Here is a 17548-nt window from a genome sequence, read left to right on the forward strand (position 1 = left end):
ATCTCCTGGAGGAGAAAGTATCTACACCTGTTATTTGGAATTTTCTGTAAGGATCATGTATCTTTTATCTTCATTTATTCATTTAAAATCATATAATACTATGGACTTATATATCTTAATTTTTTATACTGGGTTATAATCCTATACTTCTTTATTTATTTTGTTGCTCAAATGTCTCACGCTTTTGGCATTGGGAGCTTTTCAGGTTGGCTCTGGTGTCCGTTTGACATACTCTCATCCTTCCGTCTCTTGATTACTTCCTTGCCTTCTGCCATTACAGGATATGCCATGTTCATTCTGTATTTTGTCTTCCCTTGCTATAGATTTGACTACTTCTCATAAGCATCTTTGATTCTTTGACTGAAAAGGTATGAGAATCAAGATCTGGTCTCTGGGTTTGCCTGTTGAGCAGTTTATAAAATAGGAGCAGAGGTCTGGTTCTGATGATCTTGGCTTTTGCTATAAATCTCAATCTTCAAAGATAAAGATTAAAAATATCCTTATTGTGGAAGTTATATTAAGTATGTTAATCTGCTTGGGCTGCCACAAGATACCATAGGTTTGGTGGCTTACAAAAACAGGAATGTATTTTCTTGCAGTTCTGGAGGCTAGAAGTTCCGAGTTCAAGGTGCCAGTAGGGTTTCTCCTGAGGCCTCTCTCTTTAGTTTGCAGACTACTTGCTATGTCCTAGGATGGACTTTCCTTTGTGTAGTCACACATGGAGAGAGACTGGGAGATCTCTGGTGTCTCTTCTTCTCATAAGAACATCTGTCCTATTGGATCAAGGCCCAGCCTTCTGACCGCCTTTAACCTTATCTCCTTAAAGATTCCATGTGTAAATACAATCTCAGTGGGATAAGCATTCAATATATGAATTCTAGGGGACACAATTCAATCCAATATGACAGGGAGAGAAGGCAGGGAAATTCTGGGCAGAAGAGGGCAGGTCCCCAGCAAGGGCCCCACCCTCAAGCTGAAAAGCCTGGAACCATGGCCTGAAGGGAGAACTTACAGCCCTGTTTTTCTGCTTCAATGTTGTCTTTTCCAAAACAACCCATGGCCCTGCCCTGCCCCCATCCTGTGCCCATAAAACCCTCGAGCTCAGACAACATGGAGAGGAGAAGGAACTGGATGTCTGAAACTACAGTCAGACATCAGAGAGAAGCAGCTTGACTTCAGAGGGACAGCTTCACAGTGTAGCTTCGAAGAGGAGCCAGGCTGGTGAGGGCCGGACTCCAGGGGAAGATTATTTTCTGGTTACATCCTCTTTTCAGCTCCCCTTCCTGCTGAGGGCCAGTTTCACTGGCAATAAAATCCCCCACAATTACCATCTTCAATTTGTTCATGTGACCTCATTCCTCCTGGACACAGGGCAAGAACTCAGGGGCCACAAGTGTGGGTGCTAACGTCTGTCACACTGACTCTCTCCACTGAGCTGTTAACACTGAAGCCATCTGTGGATGGCAAAGCTAAAGGGGCAGTGTAACACTTCCTCTGGGGCTTCAGGGTTGGTGGGCACTCTCTCCTAGACACTGCCATGGGACCAGCATGAAGTTCACTCTTGCCAGCACCCAAAAGCGCTTGGCTTGGCTCCTGCACCTGCCCACCTGCACTGCCCCTCCCGCAAGGAATGGAGCAGCGAGTGAGTGGAGTTCATCCCTGCTGTGCCCGTGCACTTCAGTTCCTGCCTGCAAAGAGTTCAGGGAAATATTCAGTTTCATCAACATTGGGAAAGGCATTAAAGAGTTGAAGAGCAATGCACTTTTCCATGCCTTGCAAAACACCATCTATACAGGAATTGATAACCAGGGAATTTGGCTGCTTCAGCAGTAGAAAAAACTAACAAATAGTCTGAGTTGAAAATATGGCTTTAACTTTTTCTTCTTGTTCTATGTGAGGTCCTTAATACATTAACCATAGTTTGACATATAATATATGACCAAAATTTTATTTTATATTTTTATTTTTTGAGGAAACTTTCCTCTGATACATCAATGCTACTGTAGGAAATGAAAATGCGAATGAAAAATTAAACATTATCTACCACTGAGGGCCTTGAGATTACTTTGAAACAGATTATCAGCCTGTTTAAAGAAATTATGAAAAAACATCAAGTTATTTCTGTTTTCTTTGGCAATTATATTGTATTATGTGTGCTCTTCAAAATACCAGTAGAAGTGCTTGCCTTTCCCTGCTACAGTAGGTAAGAAAGGCACCAAATTGAATATAAAATGTGATCACTTTTTCTTTTACTCTCCTTCTTTCCACAGACTTTCCAGTAAAGTCAAAACAAACAAATAGATGTTTCATTAATAATTTTATGAGTGCTTTTGTAAAATCTGATAAACATTTAGAAACAAATTAAGGGAAATGAACAAATAATGAGACCAACAGATGCACACAACAATAAAAGCAATCAACATTGATTCTAGTTTTGCATGATGGTCCTTGGTGTCTTGTCTGTGTTTTCTGATGATTAATGCCTCAGGAAAACAATTTACAGAAATCAGTATTGCAATTATTTTCTGTATCTTTTTAGGGGTTAGAGACATTGCTAAACTGTAACTGACAAAGTGATAAATCTGCACACTTTACAAATCTATCAATTCTTATGTTTTATTTAACTATTTTCAAATGCAGCATTGTGTGAAAGCTACTGCAATAAACATTTTATTGGAAAAAATTCAAACACTTAAAATATGTGCTATATTTTAAGAAATAATTCAGTGATACATATAAGTCAAATGATTATTTTCTGTTAAAAAGTTAAATACAGTACAGTATGTACTTATTGTACTAGTAGTCAGGGGCAGAAGTGTGGGTGCTAACATGTTTCAGGACAAATGTCACTAGAATATCTTCAAGGCCTAGAGTCTGATTAGTAAATTAAAGGACATTTACTTATGAATGTTTGTAATATGATATCTGCAAATTTCCTTTTACATGAAATTTGAATTATTTTTAAAGCAAAACTCAGATAAAGTTATTTCATGCATATACTATTTAGGAAATTTGCTTTGCTTTACAACATCTGTTTTAAAGACAGTATACTACACATTTTGAGAGACTGAACATAGGTAGGACACATAATCTATCCTCAAATTTTTGAAGCTTCCAAACAAGTTTGGTAAGGTCATGTATTTCACAATGCATTACAAATTGCATATTTGATAAACACATGTGCTTATAATTTGTCAGACATTATTGTAAATATTTTACATCTATGCCCTTAAAATGCCCTACACAAAGGGACAAAGACATGGAGTCACAAAGCTAGGATGCAAACTCAGACAAACAGCTGAGCCTACTTTCTTAAACTCAATACTATTGTTCAAAATCTACTCCAGAATAGGCATTCTAATGGGAATATATAAAGCATAAGGTATTCTTGAGTGATTACTAGAATTATCAATAGAACCATAGACAGAAAATAAGACTGGAAATATACTGTTTTTATAGCTATGAAAGTCAAAGAAAAGAATTTGAGTTGAATCTGTCATCACTAATAAAAATTTGGTGGGGGAAGAAAAGTACAAGATGATTTCTTAGCACAGTATAGGTGTAAATTTATTCGGTTAATTAATTAAATATTTGCTTATTAGCAAACTATGTATTAAATGCCTATCATAGGTTCAGGCTTTGGGATGAGCCATGCAATAAAAATGAGAAAACAAAAAACACTGGAATCTATGGAATACTAAATATAAGTAATATTGGGACTCATTTGTGCTTCTGGCAGAGAGAAGAAACACAAACCAGGATTATGTAACCATCATACCCAGGATTAAGTTTACATTTATATTCATCTTCTGACAGGACACATGAGATGTCTGGATCAGAAAACAGATGTTTTATTACTCCCAGCAACATAAGTAGCCAGAGTAGCATCTTGCATTGCATTGGTTCTTTACACTCAAGTTTCTCATTAGGTGAAAAAATGAAGATATTCACCTGTGTATGTAGTGGGGTTTGCACTACCGGGAGAAAATTTGAAATTATGAGACCTGGAGTTTATCTAGGGAAGCTGGCACATTGGCCTGTCCTCACTTCTCAAGAAAGAAGGACAAAGACCTTTGAACGAATCATCTCTGTGAGGGAAAAGGATAATCCCTGGGTTTAATTAATCTCATAATATAAACAAATGTCTCCAAAAAAGACTGGGAAGACATCTATGGGTTTATTGCTTTAGAATATGATATCAGGAGCTCCAGGATTCTCATAGGCAGAATCCATGGGGATCTTTGGCTCAATGTTAATCTGTATATGCATAGAATAAAACTATGTGGCAATGAAGGAAATACAGAAATACCATAAACTGAAGATCCTCAGAGTTCACACTTTGGTAGATATTTGACTTTTTCCAGGCAGAGGAGAGAGAACATTTAGAATAAATGGGACAGGCCAGGATTGGTGGCTTATGCCTGTAACACCAGCAATTTGAGAGGCCAAGGAGGGTGGATTGCTTGAGACGAAGAGTTTGAGACCAACCGGGGCAACATGGTGAAATCCCTTCTCTATCAAAAATACAAAAATCATGCAAATCAAAACCACAGTGAGATACCATCTCACACCAGTTAGAATGGCAATCATTAAAAAGTCAGGAAACAACAGGTGCTGGAGAGGATGTGGAGAAATAGGAACACTTTTACACTGTTGGTGGGACTGTAAACTAGTTCAACCATTGTGGAAGTCAGTGTGGCGATTCCTCAGGGATCTAGAACTAGAAATACCATTTGACCCAGCCATCCCATTACTGGGTATATACCCAAAGGATTATAAATCATGCTGCTATAAAGACACATGCACACGTATGTTTACTGCGGCACTATTCACAATAGCAAAGACTTGGAACCAACCCAAATGTCCATCAATGATAGACTGGATTAAGAAAATGTGGCACATATACACCATGGAATACTATGCAGCCATAAAAAAGGATGAGTTCATGTCCTTTTTAAGGGCATGGATGAAACTGGAAATCATCATTCTCAGCAAACTATCCCAAGGACAAAAACCAAACACCTCATGTTCTCACTCATAGGTGGGAATTGAACAATGAGAACACATGGACACAGGAAGGGGAACATCACACTCCGGGGACTGTTGTGGGGCTGGGGGAGGGGCAAGGGATAGCATTTGGAGATATACCTAATGCTAAATGACAAGTTAATGGGTGCAGCACACCAACATGGCACATGTATACATATGTAACAAACCTGCACATTGTGCACATGTACCCTAAAACTTAAAGTGTAATAATAATAAAAAAAAAATACAAAAATCAGCCAGGTGTGGCTGCATTTGCTTGTGGTCCCAGCTACTTGGGAGGCTGAGGCAGGAGGATCGCTTGAGTCTGGGAGGTTGAGGCTGTAATGAGCCATGATCACACCATTGTACTCCAGCCTAGATGGCATAGCAAGACCCTGTCTCAAAAGAAAAAGAAAAAGAAGAAATTAGAATAAATGGGACAGTCAATAAAGAGGCTAAAGGCATCTAGTCTTAATAATAAAGTTAAACAATTGCTAGAATTAAGGCCACTTTATAGTTGTTCTAAGTAAAAATCAAGCTGCTATGAACTGAACGTTTGTGTTTCTTCAAATTGCGTACATTGGTGCTTAAATCCCCAATGCAATGGTATTTGGAAGTAGAGCCTTTGGAAGATAATTATGTCATGAAGGTGAAGCCCTAATGAATAGCTTAGTGACATTATATGATGAGACAAAAGAGAAGTGATCTCTCTCTCTACTCCCTGCCACGTCGAGATACAGGAAGATGGCTATGTGCAAACCAGGAATGGGGTCCTCATCAGTTACTAAGTGCCTTGATCTTGGCGTTCAAGAATCCAGAACTGTGAGAAATAAATTTCTGTGGTTTAAGCCATCCAGTCTATGGTATTCTGTTACTGCAGCCCAAACTGAAACACATGCTGATCTGCAAGAAATTTAATTGACTGGCAAGATAAACATGAACACTTCTTAAAGGAAGACAGTTAAATCTAAAAACTCAACAAAGTAACACTCATAATATGTGGCATGAAATAAAGTTTAGTTGACATGTGAAGAAGTAACAGTGTTATCCATAATTGGGAGAAAAATCTGTCAATAGAAATTGACACAGAAATGTCAGAGATGATGGAATTAACACACAAGCTCATTAAAAACTTATTAACGCAAAGCTTTTAAGGAAACACTGAACATGATGAGAAGATACATTTAAATTACTTTTAAAGGGAAGTTTGTGAGTTGATACATATAATGCAATAAGGAAATAAATCATCAGATTAATTTATAAGCAGATATACAAAGGAGAATAAAATGTTAGTTAAGTTAGAGACATAACAATAGAAATCACAGAGAAAAAATATTTTTTAAAAATGAAAGAGCCTGATGGTATATAAAGGAATATTATAACACTGAATATAAACAGAAACTGGGAAAGAAATGGATGTCAGAAAATATTTGAATAAATAATGGCAAAACATTTCAAATTTAATGAGAGTTATAAAACCATGAAAATTATAAAATCTATTAAGCTTAAAAAACAAGGAAACACTAGAAATATATTAAAAAATCCAATCAAGACACATCAAAATCAAATTGCTGAATACCAGCATCAGTGAGAAAATTTTATGATCATGGCTAGGAGGAAAACACATACATTCACTAAAAAATAAATACAAGTGAGATCAGAAACATTGCTGCAACATGTTAAAACAGAAGACAATAAAACAGCAGTTAAAAGAACCAGAGAAAGACTGATTCATCGAGATTGCCTTTCGATTAAAATGTATTTCAAAAAGGAAAGAGACAACAAGAATTAAAAATATGGAAAAACCCCTAAAACTGGACACTAGAAAACTTTCATATCAAGAAGAGTAAGTTCTTCAGATGAAGAAAATAATATAAGGCAATCTATGCAGAAGGGAAACAGAAAGTCAATAGTAAATATGTAACCAAATATAATTTTTTTTCACAACTTTGTTTCTTTAAACAAGAAAGAAACAAATCTATTACAGGATTTTAAACAAATTTAGAAATTAAAGATACCATAAAAACGTCAAAAAGGATGAAAGGGATGTTTGTATCCATTAAGTTGTATAATATTATTTGAAAGTAGATGATAATATGTTAAAGATGCAGCTGCAGTCTGTAGACAAACCACTAAAATGTGATATAAACAGATATCTCTAATAAGGCATTAGTGGATATGAAATGAATACTAAAGAAAATAATCAAAGCAAATGCTGGAAGAAAATTGAAGACAGAAATATGACAGAAGATAGATTTTTTGGTAATAGATTTTGGAAAATAGATTTTATGTCAGAATAGATTTTTTTTTTTTTAATGAGAGAAAGATGCCCAAGTATTTATTGTCTACAAGAAGCTCACTTTAGCCGAGATTGTGCCACGCCACTGCACTCCAGCCTGGGCGACAGAGCCAGACTCCGTCTCAAAAAAAAAAAAAAAAAAAGCTAACTTTAAATATAAAGATTCAGATAGGCAAAAATGAAGCAATAGAGAAAAATATATATTCTTACATTAACTTCAAGAAAGCTGGAGAATCTATATTAATTTCAGAGAAAACAACTTCAGAAAAGGGAAAATTATGAGGAATGAAGAGAGACATTATATGACAAAATGATTAATTCTTAAAAAACTCATAATAATTAATAATGTGATTGCACTTGAATAAAGCATTAATAATTATGATGCAAAAACTAATTAAAAAATGGAGAAGTAGATAAAACCAGTATTGTAATTGGAGACTTCAACAGTCCTCTAGTAGTAATTGATGGACAAGCAAGCATAAAATAGGAATACAGTTAACCTGAAAAGCACTATTATCAACTTAATTTAATTGATACATTTAGAACATTCCACCACAGGAAAAGCAGAATGCACATTCTTCTGAAGTTCACATGGAACATTAATTAAGACAGACTAGTTTCTTGGCCATAATGCACACTTTAACAATTTTGTATAAAAATAGAAGCCACACGAAGTATTTTCTCAAATCTTAATGCAATTTAACTAGAAATCTATAATGAAAGGTAGCTGAAAAATTCCCAGGTATTGGAAGTTAAACAGTTAGACTTCTAAATAATACATTGATCAAGGAAAAGATCTGAAAATAAATTTTAAAATATACTGAACTAAGTTAAGATAAAATACAACAACTCAGATTTGTGGGATGCAGCAAAATCAGTGCTTTGAGGTAAAGTTAAAGCATTAAATGGCTGTATCAAAAAAGAAGTAAATAAAATAAACACTCTAAGCTTCTGCCTAGGAAAAATAGAGAAAGAAGATACATTTAAGCCTAAAGCAAACAGAAAAACAGAAAAGAAATAAGTTAGAGCCTGGGCTATAAATGCATATGTGTGTATATATATGTGCATAAATGCATATGTGCACACACACACACGTGGATTGCCAGGAAGAGCCTTTGTAACTGCCTTTGGTCAGGCCTTAAAACAAAACAAAACGTACACACATAAATTTTTGGCCATAAACTGGATTCCTCACAGGTCTTAGAAAAAATGAATAACTGTAAATATTCATTTTAGAAAAAAATTAGAAACCTAAAATTGATATGCTAAGAATATAACTCAAGGAGTGATCAAAATTAAAATAAAAAAATCTAAAGACTGTAGGAAGAAAGATATAAGTGTAGAAATTAATTGAAAAGAAATGGACCGAAAACATAAAATATTTAGAGACACTAAAACATGAGAAAATCTCTTGCTAATGGTTCAGTGTTCTACTCCAATTAGTCTTTTTGCAGTAACAAAAGAAGAACAAATCACTTTAGAAATAAATACATACATGAACATAAAACATACATACTAGTAAAATATGTCCATGAAGAAGTAGAAAATATGGATAATCCTTTAGCTGACAAAATTTTGGAATCATTAAAAAGCTTCCCACCAAAAAAAAAATGATAATGCATAGATGGTTTTCTAAATGAATTTCAGCCAATACTTAAGGTATAAAAGTTTTTTTTAAAATTTTTTATTTCCACAGGTTTTTGGGGAACACATAGTATTTGGTTACATGAGTAAGCTCTTTAGAAGTGATTTGTGAGATTTTGGTGCACACATCACCTAAGCAGTTTACACTGAATGCATGTATTAGTCTGTTTTCACGCTGCTGACAAAGTCATACAGAAACTGGGAAGAAAAGGAGGTTTAATTGGACTTAAGAGTTCCACATGTCTGGGGAGGCCTCAGAATCATGGGAGGAGGTGAAATGCACTTCTTGCATGTCAGTGGCAAGAGAAAAATGAGGACGAAGCAACAGCGGAAACCCCGGATAAACCCGTCAGATCTCGAGACTTATTCACCATCATGAGAATAGCACGGGAAAGACAGGCCCCCATGATTCAATTACCTCCTCCTGGGTCCCTCTCACAACACGTGGCAATTCTGGGAGATAACATTTAAGTTTAGATTTGGGTGGGTACTCAGCCAAACCATATCAACACAATTTGTAGTCTTTTATCCCTCACCCCTCCCACTCTTTCCCTTGAGGAAAAGAAGTTATTATACAAAAAAGATATGTGCGCACGCATGTTTATAGCAGCACAATTCACAATTGTAAAAACGTGGAACCAACCCAAATGCCTATTAATCAACAAATCAATTAGTGAATAACAAAATTGTGGTGTATATATATCTATATATATAATACATATACATAGACACACACACACACACACACACACACACACATATATAGAGGATGGAATACTACTCGGCCGTAAAAAGGTCTAGAAAATTTTAAGTTCTGTAAAATGCAGTAGAGAATAAAACAAGATGGGAAAGCCTCAACTAATTTTGTAAAACTAGTCCAACATTGTTATCAAAATAAGCCAAGAACACTATGACTTAATAAAGTTACAGGTCATTATCATTTAAGACCATATATGCAAAAATTCCATGTCAGATAAAAATAAGACTAGGTTACAACTAGATTGGAATATTTTATAGAAATAAAATATTAATGCACTTTTTAAAAATTAGTAAATTAATCTGATAAACAGAATATATAAAGAGCCATATGGTTATCTTAATAAATATCAAATAGTTCTATAAAATCCAATATCTATCATAATTTTTAAAATATAAACATTTTCAATTTAGTAATAAAAGGTAACAGTCTGAATCTTGTGAAAGGTATCTGTAAAACCAACAGTAAATGTCATACTGATGAAATATTAAGAACCTTTCTGTTACGATCAGATAAAAAATAAAATGCATGCTGTAACCCCTTCTATTCAATATTCTTCTACGATAATTTTGTATTGTTGTAGTAATATCGAGGAAAGAAAATCTAAATTCCATATGGATAATTAAACAAAGTGTGATTTAGGAACACAAAGTGAGCTCTAATGAAATAAAATAATGTGTTTAGCACAAAGTCGGAATATTGGCTTTCCTGGGGGAAAGAGAGGAAAAGAGACATGATGATACAAACAGGAATCGAAACAGGAGATTTTAGAAACATGGTAACATTCTGCTTCTTAAATTGGATGGTGAATGTGCTAGTATGTATTTTATTGTTTCAAACTGGATATAGAAGTTATCTGTACATTTGTATGAATAATATATTCCGTAATAAAACTTTTCATTAAACTAGGAGACAAAAATAAGTCTAAGGTTACACAATGTCCAGTTCTGGGCTTTCTTCATCTGAATTGTATTGCCTATAAATTATAATATAATTCCAATCATTATTCTCTTGCTCATCACAATATTTCATTCAAAGATAAAACCTTTTTAGATAATCCATCCTTCGATATAGCTAAATGCCTGCGCTTATGTATTATGCAGAACCCGACATTTTCAGCCTGATCATAGGAGTTGAACTAACTCATTCCAGGTCAGAATTAGTGAACATTGTGTCTATCCCTATAATTACCATTTTTAAAAATCTCATTAGGGTAAATTTTTCAGAAGTTGTGAATACTGCTCTTAGAAACAATAATTTTAATTTAAATTCTGGTATGTAGGATGAAGGGGAGTGAACATAAGGTGAAAGAATATGTAAATTGACCCCAGCACTACTTTAAAATTAAGTAAATGTCTTTACTAAAATGCAACAAAATCTTAAAGTATCTTAATTGTATTTTTTTTATATTTTGCTAGAAAAATCACTGAGCATTCTGTTGACTAGATCAGTATTTAATTTTTAACCATTTTCCAAAGTCAAACGTCTGTCTTAAACTTTAAGTACTGAAGTTAACACGATGCTAAAACAATTTTAGAAAAAATAATTTCTGCCTTTAAAAGGTACTTAAGCATGTTCTTATAATACTCATTATATTCCAATTAATTTATACTCCATGAATCTCAAAGATTGAAATTAAAAAACATATGTCGATCTATATTAGTGAAGACATACTGCCCTCTTTTGAACAAAGTAAAATTTCAGGGAAAAACGGTTTTTTTACAAAGCAAAATCAGAGTGCATAGAAAAAATAAATGCAGAGATGATGGTAAACAAAGAAGATTAACTTGCACATTTTATAAAGATTTTAAGAATGCTGAATTTGATTTTACTTTCTCAAACTTTTAGTATGTGTGTTTGTTTACTTTCATGATAATTCTTAAATGCATTTGAACACAGTTTGCAGTTTAAAGAATATATCTATACATATGGAAACCCTTGTCTTAAAGATATCTAATGATTGTTTTAAGTAATAAAAACTCTGATATTCTCTGCAGATTCCACCTGAAGTAATTTATTACCATTTTGTTATTGCTATTATTCACCTCTATGAATGCTTTTTTACTTGACAAGTCTGTATCCGTAGTTTAGCAACGAGGCCAGAACAATAAATCTGTCACTGTGTGATACACTCTGGGTACAAGTTTATGAGATTGTCTCCATGTAGATGGCTACCTAAAATTATTCTAGAATGTCATAACTCTATTAACTTTTTCTCTAATTTTGTAATATTTGGATATTCTCCGTTAAAAGAATAAATGTGGAAATTTTATAATTTTCATGTTTTTTAAAGAAATGCCAACACTTAGCATGACAAAGGGAGCTAAATCCTCATTCTCTATTCAATATTATTGCTATAGATGTTTTAATACCTGAATTTTTGAGTGAAAGTCGATGAACACAGAATGGATATTCCTGTAATAAACAAATTTATTGCAATCACTAGCTTAAATAGTTATAGTACTCACTTAAATTGATTTTAAAGATGAATTTAATTATTTCCATTCACTAAGCCCTATTCTGTGATGTGAAAGTATGTTTCTCTGGAAGAGTGAAAAAAACAGTTTTTTTCTGCCCTTTGATTTTTGCCCTCCCTGGTAATGGAAAGTTAAAAAAGCATATGCCTTTTTGTGGTCAAGTGTGAATGACTTTCTAAGATAGCCAACAACTAAGAAGTTTCATTGGTAAATAAGAATGAAAATGAGATTTCAATGTACAATGAATCATCACTACTTCTATTGAACGATGGGCACCTTTAGTTCCTGAACAGGATGATCAAGAGAATCATCAACGGGTTGGGCATTTCAGAAAGAAGATGAAGTGTGTGTTAGTGGAGGAAGCTAGCCAAGAAAGCAACGATCTAATATAATTAGGAAGAGGCTTTAGAAAAGATGGGAATGGAGACAGTCTGTGCTCAGAATTCAAAGACACAAATAGGAGCTAAGGTACAAATTGGTTATTTATCATGCCCTCTAGAGAAGAAGCACAGACTGTACTTAGTGCATATTCCCTCACACTTTACCTGTATCTCCAAGAAAATCAAAACAAAACGAAACTTAAACAATATGATGATGACAACAGCAACAACAAACTCTAATATCCGTAATTTAGGGCATGACCTACCCAACAAGATAAAAATAGTTCCTCCTGACAGACTAAAGCCTCCAACTTTACATTAGACCCCTCACGAAATGACAATCAAAAAGATTCCTAGGTTTAACTGGATATTGTGGACACGAAGGCGAGTATTTTTCTGCAATTCTAAAACCCCTTTTTCAATTTTGACTAAGTCCGCAGTATAAGACTCTCTCTTTTTGAAATCCAAACATAAACAGGACCACTAGAACCTGGAGAAAGCTCTTCAACAGCCTTCTTTTCTAGTCATCTCTACAAAAAAAGAAGTTTTTTTTTTTTTCTATTTATACATATGTGATCTGGAATCCTTGGAACTTAAACTCAACTTCATGGGAAATGTAAAAACATACTTTTAAATTCTAACTCCATCTTTGACCAGATTGCAAAGGTTCATATCCCTTGCTTTAGGGCAAGAGCTGCCACTGCAAAACCTACTGATGCTCTTACTGACTTAGTCCTAGGCTGCCCATTGACTTCATGGCTCCTTATGCAGTGCATATATTATTGATACTTCTAACTGAGAAAACACTACACTTTTAAGACAGTAGATTAATGTCTTCTCAGAATCTCTTATCCTTTCTCTTCCACATCACTATTCCCTGCTATAACACCCAAAATCCTGCCACAGTGGGCCTTACCGGAAGGGAATTCTCACTATTGTCTTACTCAGGGAAGTTTCTGTATTTTACTCAAATTTATTAAAGATTCCCATTGAGAACCCTGACCTAATATTTTTTGTTGAAGGATCATGCCTCAAAATTGAAACTGGAAGTTAACCAAAAGGATATGTTATCACTAATAAAAGTTCTCCTTTGTTTTACAGTACTTTACATTAGGTAAAATCAGCCCAGATGGCAGAAATTATTGCACATACTAGGGACTGTCAACTAGTCAACAGTCATAGACCAAGCCTATATACAAATAACAGATAACCTTCTCAAGCAGTACTTGGCTTTGTTATGTTTTGGAAACAAAGGATGTTGCTTCTTTTGCTGGAAACTCCATCAGAAATAGGCAAGTTAAGAAACTTTAAAATTCATTTCTACTTCTTAGTGAGGAAATTATTACAAAAGTTGAGACCAATGCAACAAATTTCTGACACAAGTAGTAGTGGACAATCTCATTGTTCTCTATTTCTTGATGTCTAACCATGGTGGCTTCTCAACTATTAATAATATGTCATGCTATTATTTGGAGGTACAGAGATAAAGCATGCAAAGTAGAATAGGCTACACATTTTCTTTTAAAAAAAGTTACCTGACTGTCTACAACTGATTTTTATCACATTTGGGACTTACTATCTTGGCTTGTATTGGGCAATTGGGGTTCTTGTTCCAAATTATCTTTGAGGACCTATTGATTATTCTCATTTTTGCCGTAGTGGTCATGATGTTAGCTCATTGCTTTACATCCAGAGTCTTAAATGCTTCTCTGTAGTTTCCCTCTTATCAGAAAATCACCATCATAATACAATAGCAAAAAGCTGGAGAAGATCTATTGATACAGTTGATTATGGAGACAACTGAATGATCTCAAGCAGTAAAGACCTGGATCCCTAACCTTTCATTTATTGGTAAATCTCTTACAAATGACAGTAACGAAAAGGGAAACTGAGGGACTGAATATACAATGGGCAATTACGAAATACTATAGGGTAATTGATCTCTGACTCACAATTTCTGCAGTAACCAACCCAGGAAGTCAAAGCATATCCTCTTTAGCAGTCAGCACAGAAGGACTAAGAACCCGTGACAACAACTGCTATCTTCCCTATTTTTATCCCACTTCCAACTCAGGGACAATCATAGAGAGCCAATTATGCTTTCCAAAGTAATCATATATTTCAAGTTAGCCCTCTTCAGCTTCTCCAGCCAAAAACCTCCCATCAGAGCATTCCTGAAACTTTCTCCTGTGTTCATTATAGAGCTTTCCCTCTCCTCTCCTTGCATTTGAGTCTCCACCGAAGGCAAATGATGGCAGCTGAATCCCTTGTTACATGAAGTTATGACTACATGGCTTTTGTGTTTCCTTATTTACGTAGACTTCATTTATTGCTATATCTGCACCGAATAGCATCTCTTTCTAATCTATTCTTCTCTAAGGATACAATTGTTTTTTTTTTTTTAAATAAGTGTCTTATTTTGACGGATCACTCTCTTATAATTCCCTTATAATACTCACACATAAGAGAAGTCTTCATCTATGTCCCATTTAGTATTAAGGATTCACAATTCATTATTTGATCATCGGTCACAAGAATAGTGGCTGGCTACATTATTTCTGGGGCCCAAGTCCCAACACTCATTAACTGTGTGATCTTAGGTCAGTGACAACTCATCTATCTTTATTTTATTTACTTATATTTACTCATCTATGCCTTATTGTGTAATGGGAATAATGACTCTATTTTCTTGATTGTCTTGAGATAATTAAATGGATATTCTTGAGATATTAAATGAGATAATTAAATGAGAAACAGAATTTAACATGATTCTCTAATGCACAAAAAGCGTATAAAATATACCTATTAAAATGCTTATAAAAAGTAGCTATTTTATTGGCTATTATTATCAAGTTTAAATATCTGACAACAGATATCCAACATTATAAGAGGTTTCTCTTACAGCTAAAAGCATTACATTTCATCATTTCATGAATCAACTTACTTTTACTGAAAATAATATTATAACATAAACTCGTATAATTCAAATATTTTCCCCTTGAATTAAGTACCTATAGGTAATGATCAAGATTTGAAAGTAGAAAAACAAAGTATTAGTTTTCTGTTGTGCTAATTATATAAAATCCCCTTGAAAACCAAATCTAATTTACATATTGTCATTGCATCAGTGACTTTGGTTTCAATACAACAATGGACAACTTATTTTTTTTAATCCACCCTGTCCTCTACTTTCCCCACTTAACTAATCTGTAGAAAAAAATACATATCATAAAGTGCATTGTAATAATACGCATCTCACCTATCTTACCTTCAGTTCTGTGTCTCTGTTCATTTTCATTTTCTGCAGTAACCAAGTACTACTTAAGAAACTTTGAAACTATGCACACCAAAACTCTTTCAAGAACCAATTTTAGTGTTTACAATAGTTAATAATAACCACAGCTGTACTAAACATTCCTCTTGATCACAATCTCTTTTTGTTTGTTTTTGTTTTTGTTTTTTGTTTGTTTTTTTGAGACAGAGTCTTGCTCTGTCACCCAGGCTGGAGTGCAGTGGCGCGATCATGGCTCACTGCAAGCTCCCCCTCCCGGGTTCACGCCATTCTCCTGCCTCAGCCTCCTGAGTAGCTGGGACTACAGGCGCCCGCCACCACGCCTGGCTAATTTTCTGTATTTTTAGTAGAGACAGGGTTTCACCAAGTTAGCCAGGATGGTCTCGATCTCTTGACCTCGTGATCTGCCCGCCTCGGCCTCCCAAAGTCACAATCTCTTTTTTTAAATAAGTAGAGCAAAAGTATTATTGAAAATCCTCACTAATTTTTAGAACTTACCATAATCTTCAGGGATGTTTGTACATAAATTTTAAATCACATCGCCATCACAGTTTCTTGACAATTATCAAATGAAAATATAAGAGACCAGAGTATTTCTACCTTAATAAATGTATTTAATTGTGAAACTGGCAACTACCGTGTAAAGCTTGTTATTTGCTTCACTGCAGAGTAAAGAAGTAGTTATATTAAAGAAAAAATAGTATACACTGAAAGCTTAGTGTATTACAGAAATATTTGATGACTGACACCAGCAAAATCCAGGGTGACTCTATCTACACAATAAAAATAGGCACTTGCTTTATATGATCATCCCCAAGAATTTCGGTTCTTATTAAGTGATATAAGAGTATGCTTCTTTCTGTTACCTGGAATCAATGGTTATTTCCAATTATCATTATTAGTCTTTTGGATAAAACTGTATATCATAAGTGCTTTCTCAAAAAAGAATATATTTTACATATGAATATAAAATTACACGAAATTTAAATTTAATAAGATAACATAAAAGGGCAGATGGGGCCGGGTGCCGTGGCTCATGCCTGTAATCCCAGCACTTCTGGAGGCCAACGTGGGCGGATCACCTGAGGTCAGGAATTGAAGATCAGCCTGGCCAACATGGTGAAATCCTGTCTCTACTAAAAATACAAAAAAAATTAGCCGGGCATGGTGGCGGGCGTGCCTGTAAACCCAACTACTGAGGCAGGAGAGCTGCTTGAACCCAGGAAGCAGAGGTTGCAGTGTCCTAAGATGATGCCATTGCACTCCAGCCTGGGCAACAAGTGCGAGACTCTGTTTCAAAAAAAAAAAAAAAAGAAAAGAAAAGAAAAGAAAAAAGACAGATGGAAGTCAGGAAATTTTACATGCAGAATTTTTTACCTAAAATTTAAAAAATGAATGATGCCAAGGTTTATATCAATTTGAATTATACCTATTTCCACTCAAATGTATTAAATAAAAGAGAAAGATAAAAAACTTAAGCAAGAGAACACAAACTTTATATTCAGAAAGGTAAACTACAGCTGTCTTTGACAGTTTTAACTACAAAATTTTATAATAACCACATTTTCAAAAGATTAGGTGTAATTTTATATAATACATAATTTATTAGTCACAATTTATAGGCTATTAGAAGTTTGACATGGATAAGTGTACTAAAAGCATTTTGAAGTT

The sequence above is a fragment of the Homo sapiens genome, chromosome 21 (genome assembly GCF_000001405.40).
Source record: "Homo sapiens chromosome 21, GRCh38.p14 Primary Assembly".
Lineage (NCBI taxonomy): Eukaryota > Metazoa > Chordata > Mammalia > Primates > Hominidae > Homo > Homo sapiens.